Source organism: Homo sapiens, chromosome 6 (genome assembly GCF_000001405.40).
Source record: "Homo sapiens chromosome 6, GRCh38.p14 Primary Assembly".
Classification (NCBI taxonomy): Eukaryota; Metazoa; Chordata; class Mammalia; order Primates; family Hominidae; genus Homo; species Homo sapiens.
The window spans coordinates 149,396,267-149,413,777 of NC_000006.12; the positions used below are offsets into that span (position 1 = coordinate 149,396,267).

The 17,511-nt window shown below is 35.3% G+C and overlaps 2 protein-coding genes across 13 annotated transcripts in view; both read left to right on the forward strand.

Annotated features, from left to right (window-relative positions):
* TAB2 (TGF-beta activated kinase 1 (MAP3K7) binding protein 2) overlaps nt 1–15,341 on the forward strand; it is a 193,682-nt gene extending 178,341 nt beyond the window's left edge. For all 12 annotated transcript variants that reach the window (NM_001292035.3, NM_001369506.1, NM_001292034.3 and 9 more), the window contains 4 exons: nt 1,338–1,498; nt 1,703–1,796; nt 2,838–2,918; nt 13,311–15,341. In NM_001292035.3, the coding sequence (NP_001278964.1) occupies nt 1,338–1,498; nt 1,703–1,796; nt 2,838–2,918; nt 13,311–13,453 (479 nt within the window). In that variant the 3' untranslated portion in view covers nt 13,454–15,341. The remainder of the gene's footprint in view (nt 1–1,337; nt 1,499–1,702; nt 1,797–2,837; nt 2,919–13,310) is intronic.
* Nucleotides 3,996–5,012, forward strand: SUMO4 (small ubiquitin like modifier 4). Its single transcript, NM_001002255.2, has one exon. The coding sequence runs from the start codon at nt 4,126–4,128 to the stop codon at nt 4,411–4,413; it is 288 nt and encodes a 95-aa protein (NP_001002255.1). The 5' UTR covers nt 3,996–4,125; the 3' UTR covers nt 4,414–5,012.

Genomic DNA, 17,511 nt, shown 5'->3' on the forward strand with positions numbered 1-17,511 from the left:
CTCGGCCTCCCCAAAGTGCTGGAGTTACAGGTGTGAGCCACCATGCCCAGCCTGGAATTTTTTTCTTAGATGTCTGTGAGACCTTTCAGAACTCTTCTTTCATTTTTTCTGTCACATTATCTGTGCATTCTGGGTAACATTCTTACATCTATCTGACAGGTCACCAACTGTCTTTGTATGTAATCTACTGTAATCTGTTTGGCTTTTTCATTTCAGTGACTTTTATTTCTAGAGGTTGTTTAAAGTTCTTTTCCAAATCTGCTTTATTTTTCTCAAGATAGAATCATCCCATGTTGTTTCTTTATAAAAAGTAGATTCAAGTATCTTCACTTCCAGTCCAGTATCCTAAAGGATGAGATTCATGTCCAGGGACAGATCACAAAAACATATACCAGTATTTGTAGTTTATTATGGTTTCCCAAGTAGTTCATGCTGCAGGATTGATTGCTTATTTTGTTTCTTTAAAGATCTTGGAAGATATTTTCACAAAATATAATCTGAATATACAAAAATATAAGTGGCAATTGGGATAATTTAATGTTAACATTTATGTGGAGTGAAATCAATCTGCCTGTTTTATTTGTTGCATACATCAAAATGGATTCTACATTCCCTTCTAAAATATCTATAACATTTTCATATTAGAATGCTTCATTCATAGACCAAACATGACAAACTCTGAAGTAAGAGAGCTTGTCCTTTCCGAGGGTAGATGTGAATTAGATACAGTAGTAAGTAGGTTAACTGAAAAGACGAAAACCTTTAGAGAAGCTGTAGCCTAAAAATGCTGTCTTCATTCATAAAGTGAATTTCTCCAAATCCTAGAAAACATTTAAAAAGTGGCATTTGTTTAAATGACTAAAACAATTTTTCAGTTAAAATGTTTGGAATTTGGCCAGGCACAGTGGCACAAGCCTCTAATCCCAGCACTTTGGTAGGCCAAGGCAGGCGGATCACCTGGGGTCCAGAGTTCGAGACCAGCCTGACCAACATGGTGAAACCTCATCTCTACTAAAAATACAAAATTAGTGGGGTGTGGTGGCAGTTGCCCATAATCCCAGCTACTTGGGAGGCTGAGGCAGGAGAATCACTTGAACCCAGGAGGCAGAGGTTGCACTGAGCCGAGATCGCACCATTGCACTCCAGCCTGAGCAACAAGAGTAAAACTCTGTGTCAAAAAAAAAAAAAAATTGAAATTTTAAATGCCTAAACTTACAATATTTTGTTTTAATGTAGCTTTGGGATTTCTGACAAATTCTTGTTTGCTTTTCCAAGTCTGCTTAAAGGTTAATTGATTAAAGTGGGTGGGTCCTCATGTTTACTAATGTGTGTTGCAGCTCTTTTGGTACACCAGAAGGCCAGAATGGAACGACTTCAAAGAGAACTTGAGATTCAAAAGAAAAAGCTGGATAAATTAAAATCTGAGGTTAATGAAATGGAAAATAATCTAACTCGAAGGCGCCTGAAAAGATCAAATTCTATATCCCAGATACCTTCCGTAAGTCTTTATGTAACTGTTGTGATCTCTGCTTGAACATGAGAGTAGGCCATCTAACATAAGTGTAATATCTCTATCTAGTTTTCTTCAGATGTTCTTAACTCTTGTTTTTCTGTCCTTACTTTCTTGTGCCAAACTCCATTCTTTATTAACTAATGACTAAGAATTCAGTGCAAATCTTACTTACATAGAATTATTTTTCAGCTTGAAGAAATGCAGCAGCTGAGAAGTTGTAATAGACAACTCCAGATTGACATTGACTGCTTAACCAAAGAAATTGATCTTTTTCAAGCCCGAGGTAAAGTTCAGTGTATTTGTAGCTGAAATTCATCGTATTTAATTCACCAGCAGTTTTTCTGTGGCTAAAAACAGACTTATCAATCATAATCTTACTGTCTCAGAACATGTGGCTTTGGAGCCAGACAGACTTTTAAGAATATATTTAAAAAGTCACCCCCATCTCAATGGCACTATCTTAACTGATAAAATATAGAAGATAGTAAAAATAAGGTTTATACATTCTTTAGACAATGATAGTTTCTTATACTTGAGCTATTAATGACAAGCAATGTTTTCTTATAGTAAATAATGTTTACAATTTAATTCAGTTCCATAGAGAACTAAAAGGAAATGTTATCACTTAAACCTAATTCTGAAGTTGGATAAATAATAAAAAGATATAAAATGGAAAAGACAGGAAGGGGAAGGAATCTAACCAAAAGAGAAGTCTTTAATCACACTTGGGACTGTGTTCTAGAATCTGTTCAACTGGAAGATGATTATTTTTATTTTTATTCTTTTTAAATGTTGATTAAGCTATTTATCTTTAAACATTCATAGAAAAATACCATAATTTAACTCTAAAAAGTTGGTGCTGTTCTAGAAACTACAATCCTTGAACTTACTCTTTTTGTGTAAAATTTTAACCATTCTATTACATAGTGCAAGGTTTTTATATTTACTTGAGGTAAAGCTGTTTAGTTACTTAAGTCCATGTTTGATCGTTTAAAATTACATTTTAAATTGTGAAATTTTAAGTTATTTTAACTTGCCACATAGAACAGGGATCTACTTCTACTTCTATTAATGTCTTACCAGCATTAATTTGACTTCTTTCACAGTTTACCACTTACCCGTGTTTATGAGTACTACATTATACCTAAGATAATATATTTGAAATATGTTTTGAAATCTTACATATAATTCGAGGTTAGAGGGGCAAAATAAATGAAAAGCATTTCTTATAGCGTGTTTATTTTTAGAAAGAAATACTTGTTTTAAAAAGTAAAGTTGTTTTTGAGCTATAAGCATTGATATATTTACTTTTTATATATTTCAGGACCACATTTTAACCCCAGCGCTATTCATAACTTTTATGACAATATTGGATTTGTAGGTCCTGTGCCACCAAAACCCAAAGGTTAGTGTATCCATTAAATGTGAAAACTGTTACTTTTGAAAAGCAAAATTTTAGAAAATTTTTCCTGTTCAGCAACCTTCCTCTCTAGAATTGCTTCAAACTTTGGCATTCTTAAATGAATTCATTAAGAAGATGTTTGCTTATTTTCATTTACATGCTTGGGGTTGGGAAGGATGCAAAGATGTAATATTCTTAGCTTTTTAAAAGTAATATGCACGAGCTTAGGAAACACTATGTACTCCCAACCAATAATAGCAAGTCTTGGTTAAAAAACAATTACTAAGTACAAAAATTTGTATCATTTAAAACTTTAGACAAATGATAAGGAAGATACCTTAGGGAAGTTCCCCCCCCCCATGAGTATTTAGTTTAATTTATATATAACTTTAAGTAATCAAAATACCCTAAATTCCAGGTGAATAGTTTTCTACCTTCTATCATTTTACATCATTGATATTCTCAGAATATATGCACACCAAACTAAGACATTTCAAAGTATGTCTGTGTGTTTTGATCCAGGCATTAAAATGTGTGTAGAAATGGAAACAGGTACATAAATATCACTGCTGAAGGTAAAAATATAGACATATTTACAGATTAACACTTAACCGTGGTATATAATTTACTTTCAACTCTAATAAGAAAGTTAAAAGGTAAAAATGTGTTAATGGATACATAATATTAAAAGAAGAAAACTGCAAGAACACAAAAGTGTGGGAGGGTGGAGGTTGTAAAGATGCAGTAGTATTTTTGTATGCATTTGAAGTTAAGTTGTTATCAACTTAAAATAGAAGAGTATAACCAAATATAATCAAAGTAAATCACGATTAAACGTTGTCGAATAACAAGACAATAAGAGGAAAAGAGGAGCAAAACAGTTGTCAAATAGACAGGAAGCAACAAACTGCCAATAGTAAGTCCTCACTTATTAGTAATTACCTTAACTGGAAATGGATTAAACTCACCACTCACAAGGAGTTGTATGAATGGATTTTAAAAACAGGATCTGGCAGCAGCCAATGGGAGGCCCCAACAGCTCGTGCTGGCGCACACAGCGGGAGGGGAGGGAGCCCAGGATGTGCACGCACCCTCTCCCTCATCCACCGCTGTCACCTCCTGCTGCTCTTCCTGCTGCTCGTGTACTCGTTAGGTGCGGACCCGCCACCTCTTTTGTGAAGCAGCAGCTGAGGAGACTCCGGTGTTCACCATGGCCAACGAAAAGCCCACAGAAGAAGTCAAGACTGAGAACAACAATCATATTAATTTGAAGGTGGCGGGACAGGATGGTTCTGTGGTGCAGTTTAAGATTAAGAGGCAGACACCACTTAGTAAACTAATGAAAGCCTATTGTGAACCACGGGGATTGTCAGTGAAGCAGATCAGATTCCGATTTGGTGGGCAACCAATCAGTGGAACAGACAAACCTGCACAGTTGGAAATGGAAGATGAAGATACAATTGATGTGTTTCAACAGCCTACGGGAGGTGTCTACTGAAAAGGGAACCTGCTTCTTTACTCCAGAACGCTGTTCTTTAAAGACCAAGATTACTGCATTCTCAATTAGAAAACTGCAATTTGGTTCCACCACATTCTGACTACTACAGTATAGTTTTCTCTATTCTTTTGTTTCCCCCTTCCACATTCTTTTATTATACATGAAGTAACTGGTATGTGTACACAAGCATATTGCTTTTTTCTTCAAACCAAACAGCCAATGGTATGTTTTGATTGACATCAAGTGGAGACAGGATGGGAAAAAATACTGATTCTGTGAAAATACCCCCTTTATCCATTAGTGGCATGTTCATTCAGGTCTTATCTTTATATTCTAGTAAGTTATTTTGCTCTCACTGTTTTAACAACAACAAAAAAAAATTCTCACATACCTTGTTCAATTGGAGGATTTTCATGTTTTTCATTTATCATTGTAAAACCAAGGACAATTTTATAACTTTTGTGTACATAGCTGTTACATGTAGGGCAATCTGTCTTTAAGTAGGGATAAATTACTCTAAAAAAAAAAGAAAGAATCCTAGAAAGTTTTTCCTTCAAGTCAGGCTTCTTATTTAAATAAACTTTTTGTTTAAAATGAAATAAAAATAAAAACAGGATCCAATAATATACTATCTACAAGAGACTCATTTTATATTTAAAGACACACATAGGCAGAAAGTGAAGGGATGGAAAAAGATTTTATATAAATGGTAGCTAAAAGAAATCAAAAGTGGCTATAATTATATCAGAAACAATAGATTTTTAAGTCTAAAACTTGAGACAAAGATTATTATGTAATGGTAAAAGGATCAATTCCACAGAAAAATATAAAAATTATAAATATATACACACCCCACATCAGACTACATTAATATGTAAAGCAAATAATGACAGTTCTGACGACAGAAATTGACAGCAATAGTAGGAGACTTCAATACCCCCCTTACAATAATAGAATATCCAGGCAGAAAATGAATAAAGAAACAGCTGATTTGAACAAGCACACACGGAACATTCTGTAGGATAGATCATATGTTAGTTCACAAAACGAGTTTAAACAAACCTAAGAAGATAGAAATCATTCCACGTATTTTTTCTAACCACAGTGGAATAAAACTAGAAATCAGTAACAGCAAGAAAACCATAAAATTTGTGGAAATTTAAACACAGTCTTGAATAATCATTGAGTCAAGAAGGAAATCAAAAGGGAATCTTAACAGTATCTTCAGACAAAAAGGAAAACATAGCATACTAGAACCTATGGGATGAAGCAAAGGCAGTACTAAGAGAGAAGTTTCTAGAGATAAACAATACTACATTAAAAAAAAAAAAAGAAAGATCTCAATTATACCTCAGGGAACCAGTAGAAGAACAACAAGCTAAGCCTAATGTTAGCATAATGAAGAAAATAATAAGAATTAGAGCAAAAATAGAGAATTTAGAAACAACAGAAAAAGAAATAGTAAAACTAAGAGGTTTTTTAAAAAATCAACAAGATTGACAAACCCTTAGCTAGATAAATTGAGAAAAAAAGGAGACAAAATCAGAAATGAAAATGAAGACAACAGATGCCTCAGAAATAAAAGGATCATAAGGGAATATTAGGAACAATTTTATGCCAACAGACTAGATAACCTAGAAAAAAATTGATACATTCCTATCCAAAAAATATCCAAAAAAAATTGATATCACCTATTAAAGCTGAATCAAGAAGAATTAGAAAGACTGAGTAGACCAATAACAAATAAGGAGATTGAATCAGTAATCAAAAATCTCCCAACAAATATCCAGCATGGATTTAGAAATTTAAAAAAAAATTCCCAACAAAGAAAAGTCCAGAACTGGATGGCTTCATGAGTGAATTCTGTCAAACACTCAAACAAGAATTAATACCAACCCATCTTAAGCTCTTCCAAAAATGAGAAGGGGGAACACTTCCAAACTCATTCTGAGGCCAGCCTCACCCTGGTACCAAAACCAGACAAAGACACTACAACTAAAGAAAACTACAGACCAATATTACTGATGAACATAGACGCAAAAAGTCCTCAGTAAAATACTGGCAAACCAAACTGAGCACATTAAAAGGACCATACGCCATGACCAAGTGGGGTTTATCTCTGGGACTTAAGGATGGTTCAACATACACAAATCAGTTAATGTGATACAGCACACACATTGAAGTAAAATGAAAGGAATAACCATGTAGTCATCTTAATAGATGCTAAAAAGCATTTGAAAAAGTTCAGCATTTATTCATAATTAAAACTCTCAGGCCGGGCACACTGGCTCACACCTGTAATCCTAGCACTTTGGGAGACCGAGGCGGGTGGGTCACCTAAGGTCGGGAGTTTGAGACCAGCCTGACCAACATGGAGAAACCCTGTCTGTACTAAAAATACAAAATTAGCCTGGCTTGGCGGCCCATGCCTGTAATCCCAGGTACTCAGGAGGCTGAGGCAGGAGAATCGCTTGAATCTGGGAGGCAGAGGTTGCGGTAAGCCAAGATCACGCCATTGCACTCCAGCCTGGGCAACGGGAGCGAAACTCTTGTCTAAAAAAAAAAAAAATATATATATATATATATATATATATATATATATATACACACACACACATATATATATATATATATACACACACATATATATACATATATATACACACACACACACACACACACACACACACACACATACACATACACATATAGAAGGAACTTAATAAAGGCCATATATAAAAACCCCATAGGTAATATAATCAATGGAGAAAACCGAAAGCTTTCCCACTAAGATCTGGCACAAGCAAGGGTGCCATTCTTGCCACTTATTTTCAACGTAGTACAGGAAGTTCTAATGTAGTATCCATTTTTGTGTTGCTGTAAAGGAATACCTGAGGCTTGGTAATTTATAAAGAAAAAAGGTTTAATTGGCTCACAGTTCTGCAGAAAGCATGTCACCGATACCCACATGCTTTCTGTATAGGAAGCGTGTCACTGACATCTGCTTAGTTTCTGGAGAGGCTTCAGGGAACTTTTATTCATGGCAGAAAGTGAAGGAAGCAAGCAGAGGCATGTCATATGGTGAGCGAGACAGTGGGAGGTGCCACACCTTTTAAACAGCCAGATCTTTCATGAACTCAGAGCAATATCTCACTCATTATTGAGAAACCTGCACCAAGGTATTCATGAAGGATCCATCCCCAGGACCCAGACACCTCCCACCAAGCCCCACTTCTAACACTGGGGATTACATTTCAATATAAGGTTTGGGGAGGACAAACATCCAAACTATATCACCTAGCCAGAGCAATTAGACAAGAAAAATAAAGGTATCCAAATCAGAAAGGAGGAAGTAAAATTATCTGTTTGCAGGCGACATGATCATATATGTTGAAAACCCTGAAGACTCCACCAAAAACTGTTAAAAGTAATAAATGAATTTAGTAAAATTGCAAGACACAAAAACAATGTACAGAAGTCAATTGTGTTTCTGTACACAAGGAACTATCAAAAAAGGAGATCAAGAAAACAATCCCATTCACAATAGCAAGAAGAAGAGTGCTTAGGAATACGCTGAAAATTATAAAACATTGATGAAGGAAATTAAAGAAGACACAGATAAATAGAAACGTAGCCTGTGTTTATGGATTGGAAGAATTAATATTATTAAAACATCCTTACTACCCAAATTAGTCTACAGATTCAATGTAATCCCTGTCAAAATACCAGTGACATCCTTTACAGAAACAGAAAAAAATCTAAAATTATATGGAACCAGAAAAGACCCTGAATAGCCAAAGCAATCTTGAGTAAGCAAAACAGAGCTGGAGACATCACATTCCCTGATTTTTAAAAATATTACAAAGTTATAGTAAAACAGTATGGTACTGACATAAAAACAGACATATTGACCAATGGAACAGAATAGAGAGCCCAGAAATAAATCCATGTGTCTGTGGTCAACTTATCTTTGACAAGCGTGCCAAGAACACAATGGGGAAAGGGTAGTCTCTTCAGTAAATGGATATTCACATGCAGATGAATGAAATTGAACCATTACTTCACACTGTATACAAAAATAAACTCAAAATGGATTAAAAATGTAAACATAAGACCTGAAACCATAAAACTCCTAGAAGAAAACATAGGTGAAAAGCTTCTTGACCTGGTCTGGGCAATGATAGTTTGGATATGACACCAAAAGCACAGGTAACAAAAGCAAAAATGGGCAAGTGGGATTACATTAAACTAAAATGCATCTACACGGCAAAGGAAATCATCAGCAGTGAAAAGGCATCCTTCAGAAAGGGAGAAAATATTCACAAACTATTTAACTCCTAAAGGGTTTATATTCAAAATGTATAAGGAACTCATGCAAATCAATAGTAATAGAAACCAATAACCAGATTTTAAAATGGGCAAAGAACCAGAATAGACATTTCTCAAAAGAAAGTATACAGATAGCCAACAGGTATATTGAAAGGTACTCACCCTCACTAATCATCAGGAAAATGCAAATTAAAACCCAGTGAGATACCACCTTACAAACTTATTGGAATGGTTACTGTGAGAAAGGTGAAAGATTATATGCATTGATGAGGACAAAGAGAAAAGAGAACGCTTGTACACTTTCATGGGAATGTAAGCTGGTGCAGCTATTATGAAAAACAGCATGCAGGTTCAAAAACTTTAAAATTGTATGATCTCGCAATCGCACTACTGAGCATATATCCAAAGGAAATGCAGTAAGTATCTCAAAGAGATATCTGCACTCATTTTCCTTTCAGTATTATTCACAATAGCCAAAATATGAAAACAACATAAATTTCTGTATATGGATAAAGAAAACGTGAGAGATACACACACACAGTGGAATATTACTCAGCCTTAAGAAAGAAGGAAATCCTGTCATTTGTGATAACATGGGTGAACCTGGAGGATGTCTTGCTAAGTGACATAAGCCGGAGAAAGACAAATACTGCATTATCTCACCTATATGTAGAATTCAAAAATATCAAACTCCTGGAAACAGAGAGCAGAACGGTGGTTACCAGGGGCTGGGAGAAGAGGGTATGGGAAGATTGTGGTCGAAGGGGTACAGAGTTTCAACTATATAAGATAAATAAACTCTGGAGATCTAGTGTACAACAGTGTGACTGTAGTTAACAGTAGTTTATTATATAACTGAAATTTGCTAAAGGAGATCTTAAGTGTTCTCACCACGGTGGGGGGTGGGGAGATAAGCTATGTGAGGTGTTGAATATGTTAATTAACTTGATTGTAATAAGTTTTTCACAGTATATACATAAATCATCAAGTTGTACAGCTTATAATTTTTAACTGTCAGCTATACATCCATAAAGTTGTGGGGGAAACAAAACAAAGACAGCAAAACAAGTTTTCATTCACACAAATTCTGGAAGTCAGCAAACACGTGGTGAATCAGGTCAGCACTCATAGTGTTACATCATCCTCACTAGTATGCTGCAATAAATACTCCAGACTTACAATTTGTTCCCCATATGTTTGTATTTTCAAATGTCTTCAGAGATAAAAATTATTTGTGTTACTTCTTCCTTCATAAGAAACATTAAGGTTTGTAGGACTAGGAAAGTATGAATTATGGATAGGAAAATGTACATTTTTCCTGTGAAGCTGAACAGGACACCCTAAAAAAATGTATGGTTACTGTCATTGAGAAATTCAGTGCCTTACGTAGGGGAGGAAAAGGAGAGGTTGAGAAAAACAAAATTAGGACATTTTATGAATCAGGCAGTTGTTCACATGTCTACATACTGGTAGGAATACCATGTTAAACTGGGTTTTAGACAAGTGGCTGGCAAACAGTGACCCATGGACCAAATCCAGCCTGCCGTCTGTTTTTGTCAATAAAGTTTTATTGCAGGAAAAGAAAAAGAAATGGGAACAAGGAAGAACTAGTATATTACTGGTCTTTAGTTTGTTACAAGAATTTTCACATTCTCCTTTCACATTCTAATTTTTGTACTCTACTTCATTTTTGTTTGTTTGTTTGTTTGTTTATTTTTTATTTTTTTGAGACAGAGTTTCGCTGTTGTTGCCCAGGCTGGAGTGCAATGGCGCAATCTCGGCTCACCACAACCTCTGCCTCCCAGGTTCAAGCCATTCTCCTGCCTCAGCTTCCCAAGTAGATGGATTACAGGCATGCGCCACCACGCCCAGCTAATTTTGTATTTTTAGTACAGACGGGGTTTCTCCACGTTGGTCAAGCTGGTCTTGAACTCCTGACCTAAAGTGATCCACCCGTCTCGGCCTCCCAAAGTGCTGGGATTACAGGCGTGAGCCACAGCGCCCAGCCTCCTTCATTTTTATGTATAATTAGGTGTAGCTCTGTCCTCATATTTTATTTAAATGTTTTTAAATATAGCTGGAATACAATGAAAAGTTATTACAGAGGATGAGAGTGAGATTAGGGCATTTGACACAGTAAGCAAATGTTCAGAGACTAGATGCTATTTGGATGTTAATTGAATAAAGCAGTAGAGATGACAGCGGTATAAGCACTAACTCTAAAATATGCAAGATGTGTTTTTCAGACACTGAATGATTTTCCTTAGTATAATCTTCCTACCCTTTTTGAAAAATAAGAATTTTTTCTTATGAAAAGTTTCCTCTTTTGCTTCAACATAATCTGTTACTTCAGAATAATAATAATCTGTTATTTCACATAAGTGAAATAAAATTGGTCTTGACAGTTGTTGAAGTGGGATGAGTATATGAAGGTTCATTTTGCTGTCCTCTCTACTTTTATATATGTTTGAAATTTTCTGTAATAAGAAAGGTCCAATAAAAACATCCATTACTTAAAAGTTTTTACATGAAAGATAGAAGTTTGTATGCTGGCTGTTTTGGGAGAAATAAGGAATCAATAATTTTTTGCAATAAAGCTAAAATACACATTAACTTCATGAATAGAAATTTAGTCCTTGAAGTCAGTTCTGCTTCATAATGTAGAGATTTTTTTAACAGCTAAAATTAAATGTGTTTAGACCATTGTTTGTGATCTAATTTCCTCTTTTTTCCAATTTTGGTTATTTAGTTTCCGAACACCTCTAATTAAAAAAAAAAAAAATCATAATTCTAAGTTTACCAAGTGAGATTATAAGAAAACCACTGGAGATTTTTCATTTAAGAAAAATTTTATAGATCCCTTATTGATTGCCTTAGATATTACTTAAATAATCAAAAATTTGCTGGCATTTAATAATACATTGAAGTGTAAAAAGGGACTTCCTTATGGTCACTCTTCCTAAAATTTTAACCTTTGCAGTTAAACAGAATCAACAAGGTTTTACTAAAAACGTGTCAGGTGAAAATGTTTTCTAATGCCTGAGACCAAAATTTTAGTAAGTAGGATGGATCCCCAGATTAAAACAATTATTCTATAAAATGTTTCCCAGATGTGGAATGTGAGATGATTTTACGTGGTAAAAAGTCAAAAGTTTTTTAAACTGTATTTCTTTTCAGTTGTTTCAGGGCATAGTAACTGGTATTGTCAGACCCTTGATTTTTTTAGATATTTTTACTTAGGATAAGACTTAATTCGATGTTTGTTTTAAAATTATTCAGTTTGGGGAAAATACTGTATAAACACCATTCAAGTTGGTTGTGCATGTGGCAAAAATTGTGACAATGGAAAGCCAACACCTAAAGTTGAGGACTTAGCAAGAAAATTTCTGTACAATGAGTAAGAAAGGTGCTGCTAAAGGGGTACAAAGTACCAAATATCACTTAATTATTTAAAATTTGTCATAAAATTTGACTTCTGTATTTTTATTTACTTGTTACAATAGTCTCTCTTTTAAAATAGAAAAGTTATCAGTAGGGTAGGTGGAATTTGCATATTAATATACATTGTTTTAACATAGGTTTGATTCTTCAAATTAATAACCTTGACAGGAAAAATTCAACAATGCATGCTCCTTTTACTTTAAACCTCCCAAAATTAATTTGTAGGAATACTGTTCTAATTTCATTATGGGACCCAAATTTTTTTAAGTAGTTTTATAAATGTAATCGCTTGTTAGAGATAACCTTTGAGGAATATAATTATTCTCTGTATTTAAGATACCACTATCCATATAAACATTCTAGAACATTGGTCTCTTAGAGTTCCAGTGACCTTTATTTTATAAGTAAGAAACAAAGAGACCTAGAATGTATATGATTTATCTGAGATCACAGAGCAAAGTATTCAGGAATTAGTAGCAGAGCCTGGAACAGAACTCCATTCTCACAACTCTCAATTCTAGTGTTCTTTCTACTTTACCATACCAAATGTGGTTTTTAAAAATAAAGTATGGTAAAATTTTTACATAGATTTACTTCTCCAGAGTCTGTGGATAAGACGTTAGATACTAGTTTATATTTTATTTGTGTCATCCAAGGCTTACATTTTTGGCAGATGGAGAACATGAATTGACAAAAAAAACTGCCCTTTCTGGTAGAAAACGAATATAAATACTACTGCAGTGGGAAACGAAACTCTAATGAGACTTATGTACACTGACAGTATTGTTTTGCAGTAGGACAGCTTTTTACAATCTTGAGTGGTATTATGGGAATCTTTGCTATTAGATACCCTTTATTCTACTATAAATTGTAGGTAATGATGCTGTTTTCTCCTTTAAGGAGATTGGAGGTGATTACATCATGTTCATGTTGTATTTCCCAGAGGGAGAAGTGCCAACTAGATAGAGGTTGGTAGTGATCGAGCATGTGTGTCAGTGTCAGCTAGATGCCCCATTTGGGGAGCAAGCTGCATCAGGCTGTGCACTACAAATGGTGTTTAAAGTTGCCTGTAATTTTTTAGACTTTGTGATTTTTTACTTATAAAATAATTTTTTTCTTTCTTACAGATCAAAGGTCCATCATCAAAACACCAAAGACTCAAGACACAGAAGATGATGAGGGAGCTCAGTGGAATTGTACCGCCTGTACTTTTTTGAACCATCCAGCCTTAATTCGCTGTGAACAGTGTGAGATGCCAAGGCATTTCTGAGCCAAATGGCCCTGTATCTTCTCTAAAACCACATCTAAAGTTCAAGAAACTAGTCTGTCATCGGGAAAAAGTTTCACTGCTACATAGGATTTTGTCAAATTGAAGGTGTGACAAGATGGTGTTCTGCTAATGTTAAATGTCAGCCCACAGAGCTAATAATACCTCAGTATAATGTCATGAGCAGTTGAAATTCATCACATGAAAAGTAATCTGCTGAAAGACTTGGTTGCCCACTGCCTAACTGTGTACAGTGTTACCAGTGTCCCATTATGGATAATTCTCAATATGTTAACACCTAGGTGTTCCCAATACCTTTTTCCCCTCATGTCACTACTGAATTTTGACAGGAGGAAGGAATAGAATGATAGCTTGTTTTATTTGTAAAGCTTTCAGTGAAACACTACATACACGAAGAAAAGGAACAAGGTTTAACTATTTAAGAACCATTTGCTGCCGCATAGTGCCATTGGATAGGGAAGAACTTCAGAAATCTGTGGTACTCTTGGCCTTGTCTTTGTCTTCCCTGAACGTGTCTCCACTCTGTGAAGCCAGCATCTAGGGGCTAAAGATGCAAAGGAAAGCAGCATGCATTGTCTGTACAAATGTGCAGCGAAATACCCCAAAGCTTTTCCTACTGTACAGATCTCTCGAGTCTGCTTTAAGTGATTTCTTTTCTTCTTGATTATTTTCTTATATTTCTATATGTATAGTGTAATAGCCTTTTGTTAACTAATTTTCTTTTTTCCTTTTAGTAATTAAGCACGATCATGTCCCTTTTTAAGCCTTACCTGAGAGGAACAATGCCTTAAAATAAAAAAGCATTAATGAGATGAAAGTATGCACAGAATAACTTTCCTCTACTTATTCTGTACTTTGCCCTCATGAGTTCCAATGTTGTGTGAAGACAGGCAGATGCTGCACAGTGAATTGCAGATGATATTACAGAAGTGATGTCTGTAGGTCACATTAAATACTGACTTGAGCAGTGGGTGACACAACACAGTGTTTGTCTTCCACAGGGAAGCTTAAAACAAAAGATATTTTTAACCCACTGACAGAACAACAAGGTTAAGCTTCATCTGCTTGGTGTCCCACAGAACTTGCACAAGCAGTTGTTATTGGGAAAGTACAGTCTCAAAACCAGCAACAGCAGCAGTACCTACAGCCCTTTTTTTGGAGAGAAGTTTAAATGCTTTACTGTTGGGGCAGTCCATTTCTAATCCTGACTTGGTGACAGTATCATGTGTATTTATAAAACAAGGCTAGCCATATTTAGGACAACTGAAGAAAAGCTGGAAAAAAAAACAAGCAAACTTGAACACTGAAGCAACCTCAAGCATCTCTTTATTTTGATGATATATTTTTGTAAGGAAAATATTCAGATGATCAGGAATGTATATAACTGAAATCAAGAAAAAGAACAGTATGCATTTAAAAAGACAGAATTATGAAATTATATGAGTGCTTAGAATGGGGCTAAGGGAAGTGCTGAAATAGAGCAAAGGATGGAAGATAATATAGACTACCACCCACTGTAAATGTTTGCAAGTGGCTGTGTTTTAAATGGGATTATTACAGTTGATCTCTATGAATGTCAGAGCCCTAACTTTCAGGCTTTGCATTTTGTATATGGGAAGAAATATGACAATCCTAGGTAATTAAACCATAGACCCAAAGCCCTTACGTTTGATGCAATTTATTTTTAAAATAGGCCTTGTTTTTCAGCTTCATCTGCAGTTCTATGTGAAGATTGATAAATCAGTTTTTACTTGTTTTATTAATAAAACGTAATTTGGATATCTTGAGTTGATGGTTTTGTGATTTAGCTGGGTAAACTATCTTTGTAACAGATAAGTTATTTATAAAAATTAAAAAACTTATATTCTAATGTGGATTTTGTGACTTGTTTTCAGTTTGTGGGACAGGAGATAATTTATACATCAGCAGATCATTTAAGCATTAATGGAAATCAGGGAAAACTTCTTCTCTAGAGTCTCCTTGTGACATTGTGATACTCAGCTGCATTTCTTGGACTGTTTTTATCAATTTCCCTAGACTTCTTTTTTCATAGTTTATGATAGTTTTCCCTTTTATTTCCTTTGGATTTTTCAAAATTTACCGCATTGTTAAAGACAAATGTGATTTATTGGACCATTTAACCTGAAGTAAACATTTAGTTAATATTTGTTCTGTCCCTTGATGTGTAATGCAGGTCATGAGGATGGTGGTGCTTCTCTTGAAGAGAACTTTTATATTTACAGTTTTCAAAAAATTACAAAAACTCAGGTGTTTTTCTCAGCCTGAAAAGAACAAAGTAGTATTTGCTGATCTCCCCATGATGCAGTTGTAGAAAGGTCTGCCTTGAGTGGTCTTTTAAACTTAGTAGAAAGGAAATACTCAATGCCAGTGAATATGAGGACTGGACATGTTGGGCATCTGGAGACCACTTTTGGGAACTTCATTGCCCTAAAACAGAATTACAAGTGTAAGAACCTCCAATCGAAAGATGGACTTCGAAGTATTTTTTTGACACAAATTATCCTTCATCTGTATGTTTAAAGGGGTTTGGGGGTAGAGGAATTGGCAGTTCATGTAAACTAGACTTCTCAGGAAAATTTTTATATTAACAAATTGTCAGCCAAATGTCTCCTGTGACAACTAATACGTTAGACAAAGATGTGTGTTATATTGCAGGCGTTTGAGGGAAAAAAGTTGAAATTTTATTTTTCTTTTAAAATCTTGTTTAACCTGTGTCATCTTTGATCTAATATTAATTAACTTTATATTGGGGAAATTATGCAGAAAATCAGCTCCATGGGTAGTCCAAAACTAATTGTTAGCTTTAAACCTACTTAATCAAAGCAGCTATAAATAGCAAAACTAGCTGACGTGTCACCAGTTTTCTCTATCCCAATGTAATGTTGACAGGCAATTCTAGTGAGCAGGGATAGATTTAAGAGGTAAACAGTATAAGATAAAATATTCAGACTGGGCACAGTGGCTCACACCTGTAATCCCAGCACTTTGGGAGGCCAAGGTGGGTGGATCACTTGAGGCCAGGAGTTTGAGACCAGCCTGGCCAACATGGGGAAACCCCATCTACTAAAAATACAAAAATTAGCCGGGCGTGGCAGCACATGCCTGTAGTCCCAGATCCTCTGGAGGCTGAGCCATGAGAATCACTTGAATTCAGGAGGTATAGGTTGCAGTGAGCCAAGATCGCACCACTGCACTCCAGCCTGGGCAACAGAGCACGACTCTGTCTCAAAAAAATAAAATAAAATAAAATAAAATATTCAGCCCATGAGTAATGGAAGTAGGCCATATTGCCGTAGAAAATAATGTAGTGACACTAGAGACTACTCCAGATTTAATATCTATATGCTGGATATCGGCATAGCTTCCCATATAACATCACAAAGTACTTCTATTCCTGTATGGCAAATGAATATATTTTTGGCTTCAGCTTTTTTGGTGCTACAATTTTATATCCATTTTACTTGAAATGGCTCAGCTGCATTTTAATTTGTATTGCTTCCATCTGAAAATACAATTAGACAACTGAGAGAAAAGGCCTAAGAAAACAATTTTGTAGTGAGTTTTTGTATTTGTTATGACCTCTCAACTTTATTATTTATTTATTTATTTATTTATTTTTTGTGGTGTGTGTGTGTGTGACACAGAGTCTCACTCTATCACCCAGGCTGTAGTCCAGTGGAGCAATCTCGGCTCACTGCAACCTCCGCCTCCCAGGTTCAAGTGATTCTCCTGCCTCAGCCTCCCCAGTAGCTGAGTTTACAGGCACACGCCATCACGCCTGGCTAATTTTTTTTGTATTTTTAGTAGAGACGGTTTCGCCACGTTGGCCAGGCTGGCATTGAACTCCCAACCTCAAGTGATCGGCTCACAGCCTCCCAAAATGCTGTGATTTCAGATGTCTTCATTAGATTTACTCTGTAATCCTGGGACAGTTCCTTGTTTATATTGCCTCTCCTTGTCGAACGAAGGTGATTAGATTAATGCTAAACTCACCTCACAGGGGTGTTGTAAGGATTAAT